At 41.7% G+C, this 14,642-nt stretch overlaps 1 protein-coding gene across 1 annotated transcript in view; it reads left to right on the top strand.

Moving 5' to 3' along the window:
• Window positions 1–854: 854 nt before the first annotated feature.
• Window positions 855–14,642, top strand: part of LOC105376722 (uncharacterized) — a 31,396-nt gene continuing 17,608 nt past the window's right edge. Inside the window, exons 1-2 of the mRNA XM_047433431.1 lie at window positions 855–1,023; window positions 2,861–2,995. Coding sequence (XP_047289387.1) covers window positions 855–1,023; window positions 2,861–2,995 — 304 coding nt within the window. The remainder of the gene's footprint in view (window positions 1,024–2,860; window positions 2,996–14,642) is intronic.

A 14,642-nucleotide genomic window follows, 5' to 3' on the forward strand; every position in this document is an offset into this window, starting at 1 on the left:
ACAGGATAAAAAAATACTGTGGAAAAGTGGCAAAAAAAAGTTGTGGAAAAAAAGTAAAAAAAAAGTTTTATGAAAAGTTATTTTAAAAAGTTATGAAAAATTAGTTACAGGATTTAAAAAAAGTCATGGGATAAAAATAAAAATAAATAAAAGCAGGCCCCTGTCAGCATAAGCCTGGAGAAGTGGGTCTGGAGTCTTCACCCCCACCATGTCCCTACAACCCCTCCCCAGTCAGCCCTTTACCATTAGGGTAGCAAGACAAGACCCTTGTCTAATGGAGGGAGACAAACAGACCCTTTACCACCTTGACCAAGGCTGAGTCCTTACATTTCTGGATGATGATGTTTGTTATTTAAGAGCCAGAGGTTGGTGGAGTTGGTTTGTTTGGAGGAGGTCTGACGGCCTTCTTACTCTCACCAAAGCAACTTTTCCCTCAGGGGGGCTCCCATCTTCTTACTCAGAGAGGCAGCTGAGGCGGGACAGTGGAGTTAACTGTAGACCAGGCCAGGGCACAGGCTGCTGGGGGTGGCCCCCCTTCCCCCGTGTACATACTGTAGCTGTGTAACATTCTGTATCGTACCTAGCGGAGGTTGCAGCTGGCATATGAGGAAGAGGTTCTTATAATTATTCGCGGCTGGGAAACTTATTTATTGCTAGCATAGGAGCGAGGAAGGAGGCGGGGATGGGGTCATGGCTCCCTGGTGACGGGACTCCTGTTTTTGGTTTGTTGTTGTTTTGCTTTTGATTTTGGAATAAATGGATTTAGCCATACTGCTCGGCCTGTTATGTTCCCGTTTCCCTCACTGGGTCCTGCAGTTTTTCCCACTCAACGAGGAGCCCCAGAGTGTTTCAGCATGTCCAGCTGGGCTGTGGGGAATCTTCCAGGCCTGTTACCTGTATGCTGCCTGGTGACACCTGGTGGATTTCACGGGGACTGCCATGGCACCTACGGAGTACAGTCCGGCCCTGACAGTCAACAGGTTGAGAAGCCTGATCTAGCTGTGGCAGGGAAGACAGATACCAGTGCCCAAGGGCACTGACTTCCATCCACCCCAGGTGTCTTCCGTTCCATCCCCCTTCTCCCGTTCCTGTCTGCATCAGGTGGCCTGTCTGTCCCTCCAGAGTGCCGGCTGCCCCACAGGCTCCTTCCAGGCTGAGTTCAGGGCCCTGTCCCCTAGTGGCCAGAGCCGGCTTCACAGGATAAGAGCCAGCTGAGCTCCAGGGACTTTCCAGGAAAAGTGTCCCTTGAAAAGGGTGTGACCTTTTCACTGTTCCCAACAACACCCTAAAAATGGCTTGGCCTTTTCCCTCCCCTGAGCTCCATAGAGAACACAGCCAGCAGAGGACACATTCTCTGTCATCCAGAAATGGGTTTCTCAGCCGAGGGACAGCAGGACTGGTAGAGACTGTCAGGCCACACAGCTGCCTGCACAGCACCGCCATGCTTGGCCAGAAGGGCGGGAGGGATGGCGGGGGCTGGCTGTCCACAGGCCGCGCATGTCCCGGAAGCTCACTGGAGGTGGTGCACTTTGGAGGGGCGATGTCAGGAGACAGCTTCCTCTTGCTGGGCTACAAGACTCCACAAGCACAGCACGGGGACTGATTCCCAGTGCTAGAGGTGAGGCAGTCGGCCACGTGTATATATGTATATATGTGTGTGTGTGTGTGTGTGTGTGTGTGTTTGTGTATGTGTGTGTGAGAATTTATAGCTATTTATAGAACAGGGCAGGGGCATACCACAGAGGAGGCACAAGTTTTCAGCAACGGTCACACCTGGACGTGTCAGCTCACCACTACAACAGACTAAGTCACAGATGAAGGGGGCTGGCTTTGGGGCTGGGGGAGCCACTGTCAAGTCACAGGACACCCGCCCAGGCAGGCTTGGAAAGGGAGGTCTCTGGGAAGAGGGATCTGTTTAGACGTCGAAGTGGGGCCTGGGGCTCTCAGGACGGGATGGACTTGCCTGACCCGATCAGCTGGCAGTTGGAGAGAAAGCAGAGAGAAAACGGGTTAGAGAAAAGCCAGAGCTGGTGAGGCAAGTGCAGAGTATGGGTGCGCTGCAGCAGCTGTGGAGGGCCGGGGAGGGGAGGGCGTAGGTGTGGGCATGGCAAGGTTCCTGGAAAAGAGGGGCTGGAAGGAAAAGGGGAGGGAGATGGAGGGAGAAGCCGGAGCTTCATAGGTAGTGCCTGGGGACTGCGGCGGCCCTCCCCACCCCACACACGCTGGCCTGTCTCATGGAACCCAGGCAATCCACCCATCCACCCACAGTTCAGACCAATGCCAGCTCCCTCGGGCTTCCCTCTTCTGTGGTCCCCATGTCTTCCAACCCACTGGCCCAGGGCCACCTCTTGCTTGGAGAGCCCCATCCAACAGCCACCAGGCCTGATAGAGAAGGAACACTGCCTGAACCAAAATGGTGGAGCTATAAGGGATGGCTGGCTGGAGTGGTCGCCAGAGGCCCCTCTGGGCCATCAGAAAACCCAGGGTCCTCTGAGGGACCCTAGGGAAGGCAGGGAGGGCAGGTAGCCAGATGGCACTGGCCATAGACATATAAGTCTAAGAGGGGAGCCTCAACTGGTTGGCGGGGGGCTGCAGGTTGCATAGGTGAGGCTGGGCCTTTCCTGCTGGGAAAAGCAGAAGAGGAAGGCTAACTTTTGTGTTGTTTAGTAGAGAGTGGGTTTCACCATGGTGGCCAGGCTGGTCTCAAACTCCTGACCTCAAATGACCCATCTCTGCCTCCCAAAGTTCTGGGATTACAGGCCTGAGCCACCGCGCCCGGATCCAAGGCCCTTAAGCTTAAATGCCTCGTTCTTCAGTCAGGTTTTCCTTGTTCCCGCATGTTCAGCCAATCGTGTTTAAGGAGAAACTAACAATGAAAACGGACTCGTTGATGGAGGAAAAGTTGGAATGCAGCCTCTGGTGCTGTTTGAGCGATCCCTCTACCCCGGGTCGCTGCTGTGTTCTGGAAAGGCGCATTGTACCCTGGATGCGGCAGGTAAGAGTCCTGTCCAGGTGCTCTGCCCGCTTTTTCTTTCAGGCTTCTGTATCATCTATTTTTCCCCTGTAGAATGTGCCCCTGACAGCCACCCCCTAACCCTACCCAATTTGTCTTTACGTGTCTGACCATCAAGGCTCTTCTGGGTCATATTTAATTCATGCTGATATTTCCCCTTCCTCCCCTCTTTAGTCCTCACTATTTTTGCTTTGGTCATGTTATGCCTTATTCTATAAGGCTTTAAAAAATTTTTTTATGGTGGCAGGGGAGAATATAATTATGCTTTGTGCTTTTTATCTTCCACTCAATAAATGCTTGGTAAATATTTGTTTTATTGAACGTATGAGCCTATTCTAGCTATATTGTGCTTGAACAAAAATCTTAACTGCCTTGTAAGTTAACTGCTAAGAATTTGTCAGAAGTGCAGACATAACATCAAGAACTTGTCATGGATAGTACAAAAAGGTCTCTAAGGGCTTGATGGAGGCCTGTAAATTGACTTCCTATGAAAGAGAGTGTAAGAAGTGAAAATGTAAAGCATGACTGGAGAGCCAGAGTGATGAAGCCAGGGTCCCTTTCTCCAGATCCTTTGTAACAGTGTTATGTGATCTCTTCTAGAAGATCGTTCTGAAAGATAATGCCAACTCGGAACCTAGGAAACCACCTAGTGGGTTTCTGCAGCTTAGGTGTTTCAAATCCTCATCAGCACGTTTGTTTTCTCTGCCTCAGTTTGCTTACAATGATGTTCTCAGTAGCTATAACTGCTGTCTGTCTTTGAATACTTAAGCATTTTTTTTAGATGACAGGGATATATGTGCATTTTTATTTTACCAAGTGTTAGAATTTTGACTCTGCTTTTGTGGGCTCTGGGTTAGCTACGTGGTTGTTGTAAAATGATTAGCAGGGAAAACCGTGTGTGTGTGTGTGTGTGTGTGTGTGTGTGTGTGTGTGTGTGTGTGTGTGTGTATTTTAAGTTTCTTTTGTTGTCATAGGACTTCGAATTTTATTTTATATGGTAATTCTGTCAATTTACTTTATTCTCCACCCCACATTTATCGAACAGCAAAGTATGAAAGTAATGTGTCCCATAAGCAGCCTTCAGAAGAATTACAACTGCTGTATATCTGAAATTCTTTTTTTTATTTTTTATTTTGAGATGGAGTCTCACTCTATCACCCAGGCCAGAGTACAGTGGTGCGATCTTGCCTCACTGGAACCTCTGCTGCCCAGGTTCAAGCAATTCTCCTGCCTCAGCCTCCTGAGTAGCTGGGATTACAGGCACCTGCCACCGCACCTGGCTAATTTTTGCAGTTTTAGTAGGGACAGGTTTCACCATGTTGGCCAGGCTGGTCTTGAATTCCTGACCTCGTGATCTGCCTACATCGGCCTCCCAAAGTGCTGGGATTACAGGCGTGAGCTACCGCGCCCGGCTGAACTTTCAATAAGAAGTTTGTGCGTCAGTTTTCAAAAAATTATGATATCAAAAGATAGCTGTGCCCTACATTTGGAAAGATACAAAAACTGAACATACTAGCAGGCAGTTTTGCTTGCTGGTGCTTGAGATAGGGGCACACATTGGTCTCAGTGGAATTATGGAGAAAAATAGATACAGAAAGTTATTTCTAAATAAGACCAAAACATCCTTTTCTTAAGCAGTGACAGGTAAAGAGGTTGTCTTGGCTAACCTTGAATTGTGTTGCCCTTGATTGAGACAGTTTTATGGTGGGGATGGTAGTGGTGATAAACTTGCTGGAAATTTGTCTGCTGATGGTAACCTTTGTGGTAGCTGTCACAGACAACTTCATCCTCACGGGCCTTGAAATTAGTATAAAACTAACAGAATGGAGGAGAAACAAAGGACCTGAATAATCAGATGCTTAGATAATTGTTCTGTGTTTTCATAATCGGTGAAGAAGAACAGTGTTAGGAACACTTAAACATTCCATGGAAGGAACACTGCCTGAATTTATATTGTGATTTTTGAGCATCATTCACTGTTTAAAAACAGGCATATTATAGGTAATATTTTAAAGACAAATAGAAAACTTATCTTTTCAAGATGGATCTAAAACTTAAACTTATCAAAATTACAAAATATAAAGCATACTATTGAAAAATATTAATGCATAGGTTTAAATATTGGTCATCATTTTAGATGTCTTTCAAAATAGATTGTTTCTTAAATATTAAACTGAAAACATTGAACATGTTGTAGAGTTTGTGCTCAAGGTTAAGTTTCCTGGGGTGATGGATATTTTATAATATGGATAACAAAAACTTCTTAAGAAATTTAGAAAATTTTTAGGCAAAACTAGAACATAATACCAATAATTCTACCACTCAGAATGTACCACTGTCAGAATTTTGTATCTTTCCCATCATCTGCTCATCTCTTTTCTCCTTTGCTTGTGTGTGTTCCCTCTCCCTTAAAAAATCAGATTTTTTTTGTAACCTGCTTTTTCACTCAACAATATTGTAGATCCGTGTCATAAGTTACTCATCTACAGTGCCTTCAGTTATTGTGTGCTTTGTGTTGGATGACTATACCATCTAGTCATTCGCGTTTTCTGGTACTGAATACATAGGAGTGAGTGAGTGAGTGTTTGTGTTTGTGTGTGTGTGTTTTCTACCTTAACTAATGCTTTAGACATCAATAGGTAGAGCTAAATCCTTGAAACCTTCCCTGTGGTCGCTTTCAGTTCTCATTGCTGAATTGGTTTCTAGAGATGGAACAAATTATATTGTATGGAAAAAAACATTTTTTTGAGACGAAGTCTCACTCTTGTCACCCAGGCTGGAGTGCAATGGCATGATCTTGGCTCACTAAAACCTCCGCCTCCCAGGTTCAAGTGATTCTCCTGCCTCAGCCTCCTGAGTAGTTGGGATTACAGGTGGCTGCCACCATGCCTGGCTAATTGTTCTATTTTTAGTAGAGATGGGGTTTCACCATGTTGGCCAGGCTGTTCTGGAACTCCTGACCTCGGGTGATCCACTCACCTTGGCCTCCCAAAGTGCTGGGATTGCAGGCATGAGCCACCACACCCAGCCTTTTTTTCTTCTAGGTACCAGCTTTTATTTATCAGATTGGTAAAAATGTCAGAAAGTGTGCAATGAAATGGGCATTCTCACAGTCATGGCAGAAAGTATAATTAACTTTGACTTTCTAGAAAGCAGTCTGGCATTCTAGAAACTTGCCTAACCTCTTCCCATTTAGGCAAGATGAATTCTGACTATCCCTAGGTGGCCAATCTTGTCCCTGTGATTCCATATCTCCCAGAAAGAGAGGTCTAGTCTCAGGGAAAACCCAGATTTTCTTGGCTTAGCCCACCTGAGAGCTAATCACTGGAAATGAGGTGGGCGGGTAGAGTCCTTTGGTCAGGTTTTGTGTCAAGAGCGGGATGTGGAAAGATGGGAGAGAGGTAGCAAAACTGGCCTCAATAGAACTGTGTAAGTTAACATAGAATGGCAAAGGAATGTTTCTTCCAAGGAAGAAATTCTAGGGAAGGAAGAAAGTGGAGGGGAAGGCAGCAGTTCTCAAAGTTTTGGGGTCAGGATTCCTTTACACTCTTAAAAGTATATTGAGGGCCCAAGGAGCTTTTCTGTATATAGGTTATATCTATTGGTATTTATCACTAGAAATTAAATCAGACATATTTAGAATATTCTTTAAAAGCTCACCAAATTTTGTTATAAATGCTTTTATGAAAAGAAAATTTCTAAACCCAAAGTAGTACAATCTTACACCTTTTGCAAATTTCGTTGATGTTTGATACGTCATTTGCATTTCCATTCAATTTATTGTGTGATATTTGCTTGAAAAAATGTGAACAAAGGCCAATCTGATACAGATAGCCATTTTAGATCATTATGGATATTTCTTTTTTTTTTTTTTTTTTTTTTTTTGAGATTGGGTCTTTCTCTGTCTCCCAGGCTGGAATGCAGTAGTATGATCACGGCTCACTGGAGCCTCATTCTCTGGGGACTCAGGTGATCCTCCCACCTCAGCCTCCAGAGTAGCTGGGACTACAGATGTGTACTACCCCACCTAGCTAATTGTTTGTATTTTTTGTAGAGACAGAGTTTTGCCATGTTGCCTTGGCTTCTTTTTTGATACTCCATCAAAAATTGATTTTTCTTGAACTTTGGATCTTTTACCCTTGCATGGTATTATAACATCATGCATTGTTCAGTTCAGTTCAAAAATAATGGTTCACTGAGATCTTCTATATGTTGATACATTTGATTGTACAATATCAAAATACACTCATCAATATCACCATCAGTCTCATCAGAATACTTTTGGAAAGCGATGGTGGATATAAGTTTTCTAAAATTCTAATTTTTTGTTCAAAAGCTTGAGTTTTAGTATTAGCAATTGTATTGTTGAAATTTATTATGGCCTGTCTGTTGTTTTCCTTGAAATAACAGAATCTCCTTTTTTGAGAAAATGTCTCCCAAAACCCAAGCTGAAATAACATTTTTTGTCAGCCATCTTTTGGAATAAAAATGATATTCCATTAAAGTGGTTAATTCACTTCATGACTTAGTCTCATGAGGGTTTTTTCTCTGACAGTCTGTAGGTGTGCTCATGTATACTTCCCATTTCATCACTTGAAATATTAAAAAGATATATTCAAGGATTAAGATGTAAATTTTTCACTGCTTCATCATAGACATTGTTTTTATTTTTGAGACGGCCTTGTTCTGTCACCCAGGCTGGAGTGCAGTAGCATGATCACAGCTCACTGTAGCCTCAACCTTCTGGGCTCAATCAATCCTCCTGCCTCAGCCTGCCAAGTAGCTGGGACTGCAGTCATGCAACCACCATGTCCAGCTAATTTTTGTATTTTTAGTAGAGACGGGCTTTCACCGTGTTGGCCAGGCTGCTCTCAAACTCTTGACCTCAGGTGATCTGCCCGCCTTGGCCTTCCAAAGTGCTGGGATTACAGGCGTGAGACACCATGCCCGGCCCTCCCTTCCTTTTTACACCTTTAAACCTTTCCCGTGCACAGTAGTCATACCATGACTACTAGTAGTTTGGTGTTACTGCCTTTATTTATGCTAAAGTACCAGCATTTTTACCCACCATTGCATCTGCACCCTTACAGCAAATGTCACCATGTTAGTATTCCTGTCAAAACAGTTTGGACCTGGGGGTCTGAGGGCTGCACTTTGGGAACCACTGAAATAGGTACTTAAACCTACTATATATCATATCTTTTCATCTACAAGATTTTTAAAAACTTGATTTCAGTTAATGTTTTTGTAGTTTTTAAAATATGGTTTTGAGGGGTTTCAGTCCAGAGCAGCAACATGTATTCTACTTTGCTTATGCTGAAGTTTACTAGACAAATACTAACCTAATAGAATGAGGTCGTAAATCTAGTTGCATTTTCTTTAGCCAAAAAAAAAACCCAAACTAAAAATTTAAAAATGGTCCATATGGTGTATTCCCAATGTATGCTGAAGAATTTGAAGAAGAAAATGCAATAGTCAGTAAGTGGTATTCTTTAAGAATAGCATTGGGCCAGGCACGGTGGCTCACACCTGTAATCCCAGCACTTTGGGAGGCTGAGGCAGGTGGATCAGGAGATCAGGAGATCGAGACCACCCTGGCTAACACAGTGAAACCCCGTCTCTACTAAAAAACAAAAAATAAGCCGGACGTGGTGGCAGGTGCCTATAGTCCCAGCTACTCTGGAGGCTAATGCAGGAGAATGGCATGAACCCAGGAGGTGGAGCTTGCCGTGATCTGAGATCGTGCCACTGCATCCAGCCTGGGTGACAGAGCGAGACTCTGTCTCAAAAACAAAACGAAACAAAAAGAATAGGATTCATTCTGAAGAGTTTCTTTTAGCCTGTAAAAAGATTTGGGACACTGTAAGAGAGGAATGAGAAGAATGAGAATAGTGAAATAAATCATTATTGAAGAGATAGACTGTTAATGATGTCCTCCTTCAATACAACTTGTTTTTCTTTTCCTTTTTATTTTATTTACTTATTTTTTTTTTTTTTTGAGATGGAGTCTTGCTCTGTCACCAGGCTGGAGTGCAGTGGCGCATCTCAGCTCACTGAAACCTCTGCCTCCCGGGTTCAAGCGATTCCGCTGCCTCAGCCTCTTGAGTGGCTGGGACTATAGGCATGAGCCACCATGCCTGGCTAGTTGTTTTTATTTTGGTAGAGACAGGGTTTCACCATGTTAGCCAGGATGTCTCAATCTCCTGCCTCGTGATCCACCCACCTTAGTCTCCCAAAGTGCCCAGATTGCAGGCGTGAGCCACCGCACCCGGCCAACTTGTTTTTCTGGTTTTCCGTGGTTTTCATGGTTTTCTGGTTTTCTTGGTTTTCCTTGACTTGAACCTAGTTCTTCTGAAGCTAATATATAATAACAATTGCTTTTCGCCAATTTCTAATAGAAGACAGTACAATGCAACAGAGTAAATGTCTATTAGTGGGTGAAAGTGCATAATGCTTAGTTCATTAGCTTTTTAAAAAATCACATGTAATTGTGTCCCAAAAATATATGTATAATGCATTTATTCGTATTACTTGGTTTGTGTGATAGAATAAAATGTACGAATTTTATGGTGTTTGAATTAGTTATCTATTGCTCTGTAACAAATTGAGCAGCTTAAAACAACAAACATTATCTCACAGTTTCTGTGGGTCAGGATTCTGTCCAGTTTACCTTGGGTTCACTGGCTTGGCCTCTCACCAGGCAGTGAAGGTGTTGGTGGTGGCTGTGATCATCCCAAGGCAGGATAGGGAGAGAATCTGTCTCCAAGCTCAGGTTGGCAGGATTCATCTCAGAGGCTGCTGGACTGGGCCTCCGTTTCTAGATGGCTATTGGTCAGAGGCCTTTTACAATACCTTGTCACGTGGGCCTCTCCATAGGGCACCTCATCACATGGCAACTGGCTTCCATCAGAGGGAGCAATGGAAAGAGCAGGAGAAGGGTGACCAAGGCAGGCATCGTAGTCTCCTTGTAGCCTCACCTCAGAAGCGATGTTACTTTTGCTGTATTCTCTTTGTTAGAAGTGAGTCACTAGGTCCAGGGGTGGAATTTTACAAGGGTGTGAATGGCAGGAGGTGAGGGTGATCAGGGCCGTTTAGAGGCTGCCTACCAGTGTTGAAGAAAATTGTTGACTTCTATGAGCTGTAGCAGCAGACAGTGCTATGCAAGGAGAATGGCTGTCTCAGAAGTCCAGCTCCTCACATGGGTTTAAACGTGTTGCCTTTTCCCCCATACATTTTGTTTAAATCCATGGTCATCTTGCCATTTAGTGGTGTGGTTTAATTGCATATTTGGGTTAGTCTGTATGTAAACATTTAACATAGGTGTCTCTGGGTTAAACAGGAATCCTATTCATCTTCTTCACCGATATGGTTTGTGGACTCTGATGAGCCAAATCTGACATCAGTTTTGGAATGTCTAGAAGATGCTAAGAACAACAATTCGGTGAGGAAAGAAGCCAAGCTGTTTTCTCTTTTCCTTATAAACATTATATTTAGAAATTAAATGTTAAGAGATAATATGATAAAAAACATGATTAATAACTATAAACTTAGAGGAATTAAAGTCTGGGTATTTTAAGTCCTCCAAATCTTATTTACTACCTGGTTTCTCTTTATTATTTCCCACATGTATAACCTTAGTTTAGATTAGCAATTTGGGATCTCTTTTTCCCTGAATTCTAACCATTAAGCCAAGCAAGCATTTTGGGTGGAGACCACTAGCCAAGGTGGGAAGTAGAAAGAAGACCAAGGTGGAAGTGAAGGGAGAGATGGGGAGAATGACACCAAAACTACTGGGAGGGAATTGCCTTTTCTTTCAAGGGTCTGTAAGTCTGCAGTAAAAGTCAAATGTATTCAAATAGGAAGTTTTGTTTTTGTTCTTAGTTTATAAAGAAATATAACTTTCCATGTTGGAAAAATTTTTAAAACTTTTTTTATTATAAAACTCACAAGCAACCATTGTTGAGAAAATTAGTAAAGTACAGAAAAGCAAAAAGAAAAAAATTAGTCTCCCATAAATTCTCTACCTAATATAACCACTATTGACAGTTGACATGATGGCCATTTTCTACCAGTATATATTTTTTCTTTGCTAGTAAAATACATAACCCTTATACATATGTTTAAATAGTTGAGGTCGTATTCTCTATAGTTTTATATTCTTTTCTTTTTTTTTTTTTTTGAGACAGTCTTGCTCTGTCACCCAGACTGGAGTGCAGTGGCATAATCTCGGCTCACTGTAAGCTCCCCCTCCCAGGTTCACACCATTCTACTGCCTCAGCCTCCCCAGTAGCTGGGACTACAGGTGCCCACCACCATGCCTGGCTAATTTTTTGTATTTTTTAGTAGAGATGGGGTTTCACCATGTTAGCCACGATGGTCTCAATCTCCTGACCTCGTGATCCTCCCGCCTCAGCCTCCCAAAGTGTTGGGATTACAGGCGTGAGCCACTGTGCCCAGCCCTTTTATATTCTTTTAAAAAGTATTTACTGTATTTTCCCATGATGTCGTAGTCTATATAGAAAAATAACAATCATTATTTTCAGTTGACATGATTGTTTACCTAAAAATATCCAAAGGAACCAACTGAAAAAAACAATTTTTAAGATTACTGGTTAAAAGCTCTTTTATATAAAAATCAATAGCCTTCCTAAATGTTATTTATAATCACATAGAAGATATAGTGATGAAGTATTTTTTCAGGTATTTCAGCAAAAATTAAATACCTAGGAATAAACTTAGATGTGCAGGACTTTTATCAAGGACAGGACAAAATTTTGCTGAGTGGAATGAAAGATTTGCATTCTATGTTCCTGGATGAGCAGATTTCATGTTATAAATATGTTAGTTATCACCATGTCTTCATATTAATTTGTAAATGTAATTTCTGCTGGGCACAGTGGCTCATACCTGTAATCCCAAAAGTTTGGAAAGCTGAGGCAGGTAGATGACAATTAGCTGGGTGTCTGTGGCACACACTTGTAGTTCCAACTACTTATGAGGCTGAGGTGGGAGGATCACTTGAGCCTGGGAGGCAGAGGTTGCAGTGAGCCGAGATCATGCCTGTGAACTCCAGCCTAGGTGACAGAGTGAGACCCTGTCTCAAAAAAAAAAAAAAAAAAAAGCAGAAAAAAAGTGTGTGTGTGTGTGTGTGTGTGTGTGTATATATATATATATGTATATACATTTCATATTATATATATATTTATATATAAATTGTATATATACATTTCATATTATATATATATATAAATTGTATATATACATTTTATATCATATATAGTGTGTATATATATATACACAAATTTCAGCACAAATTCCAGCAGATTTATTTTTGACACTTGACAAAAACGACTCTAAAGTTAGTTTAGAAGAATAAATAATAAAAATTAATAAAGTATAGACTCTTTCAACCAGATATTAAATAAAATATTGTGGACTAGCCCTGGGCCAGACAGATAAAGTCAATGGAAGTTTAGAACCAGAGTCATGCAAATGAGAATTTAGTGTAAGGAAGAGGTGGTATTTTAACTTAATACTGAAAAGAGAGATTATTCTGTAAATGGTTTTAGGAGAACTATTTGAGGAAGTCTGAGTCTTAACTCCAATTTTTGTCAAAATAAGTTACAGTTGGTTTAAACACATCTATTCTTAAAAATTAGAACAGAAGAATATTGGTTTGAAGATATTTTAAGAGTTCAGGCTGCAGCTGGGCACAGTGGTTCATGCCTGTAATCCCAGCACTTTGCGAGGCCAAGGTGGGAGGATTGCTTGAGCCCAGGAGTTTGAGATCAGCCTGGGAAACATAGCAAGACTCTTTCTCTCTCTCTCTCTCTCTCGATATACATATACATATAAATATACATATACATGTAAATATACATATACAAATAGAAAAAAAAAGAGTTAAGTTTTGTGTGGAGAGCCATGAAGATAAGAGGTAAAAATTAAAGGCTTGATGGACACATGTTTACATCTCCAGCAAGGGGGTTGATGGGAAAGACTGATAGACATAGCTCCATTACTGCTACCTCCTTTTAGGAAGTTGCATCTGAACATCTAAAGATACCAGTTTTATAATAGCAGAAATGAGTTATTTTTCAGTGTCTAAAACATTACATGACATACATACATGCATACATACATAAGTATGTTCATAAAGTTAAATGAAGTAGGATATAAAACTGGGCCTAGTGTTTAAAAAAGTAAATATATTTACATGAAGGAGAAAACAACTCACCTCCCACTCTTAGAGCCTCTGCCAGTTTATCATAGCCTAGTTTCTTGAGAGAATAAGCTACATGTCTTCACCTTTTTTCACTGAGCTCATTATAATCTGGATTCTGCCTTCATCGTTGCACTAAAATTTATCTCCTAGTTGTCAAATCCAGTGGCTCCCCTCTTAGTCCCCAAATTGACCCCTCTGCAGTATTTTGATACTGTTGATTGTTCCTTTGTTGAAACATTCCTCCATTCTTAATGTCCACCAATAAAGAGTTGGTTAAATAAAAATTATAGTGTACAATTTTATAATAGAATATTCTGTTGTTCTGTTGTGGACCAAAAAATGCAGCCAGTCTTTCCATAAGAGCATGTGCAAACTTCTAAGATATATTAGGTAAAAAAGTAAGGCATAAAATATTGTGTATAATCTGACCCCTTTAGTACACAGTGTAAAAACATCTGTGTCTGTGCTTCTTTATACTTACTTTTTTCTCCCCTGGTGGATAAAGGAAACTGTGAATAGTACAACACAATTAAAAAAAAAACTGTGTGTCTGCTGCACCAGGACCTGTGATAATTGGGTATAAAAGACAAAAAAGGCATGTCTCTGTCCTCTGGGAAGGGACATGATAATCGAATGAGACTTCTATCGGATTCTTTTCTCCTGTTTTGATCTTATCACCCTGCCTTGGTCTCCTCCGATCTCTTCTTCCTTGTCCTACTTCTTTCTTCTCTTCTCATTCTGTGCTTTCTCTGAGTAATCTTTGACTCCCATTACTTAAGTCATGACCTGTGTTCCAGGGACTCCTAAATTTGTATTCATCTCCGGAGTTTCAAACCCATATATCTGTCTGCATATCATATATGTTAGGGAATCTCGCTTGGAGTGACATGGGTGTTCAAAATGATGGTATTTAAATTTTCACGTATCCATCTCCTAGCACTCTATCTAGTCACATATGCCTAAACCTGGAAACTGTCTTAATATTCTTTTATATACAACTGTTCTCTGACCGCCCCCCCAAACTAGTAAATTTCTAAGACCTGTCCTTCTGAATGTCTCTTACAATTTTCCCTGTGATCTCAGTTTCTTCCTCCCATCCCTCAAACTTTTTGTTTTGCAGTGTCTTCCTCATAATAGTAATTTTTAATTTAAAAAATTCTGTTGTAGCCCTTTCTGTGAGATCTCCTTCTCTTCCAAAGCCTTTGGCTCCTCTGTGCCCATTTTGGCAGGTTGTTCTTCGGGTTGGCTGTGCACATGTCATCTTGAGGTTTTTCTCATCTGCTCGCCTAGAGTACATCCATTGTTTCCTGGATCCCATGTCATCTTTCTTGGCTTTTCCCTTTGTCATTTTACCTGACTATGTCCTCAAGTAAAACCCTGAGAAAGCATGGAGTGGTATATTTT

The sequence above is a fragment of the Homo sapiens genome, chromosome 15, assembly GCF_000001405.40.
Source record: "Homo sapiens chromosome 15, GRCh38.p14 Primary Assembly".
Lineage (NCBI taxonomy): Eukaryota > Metazoa > Chordata > Mammalia > Primates > Hominidae > Homo > Homo sapiens.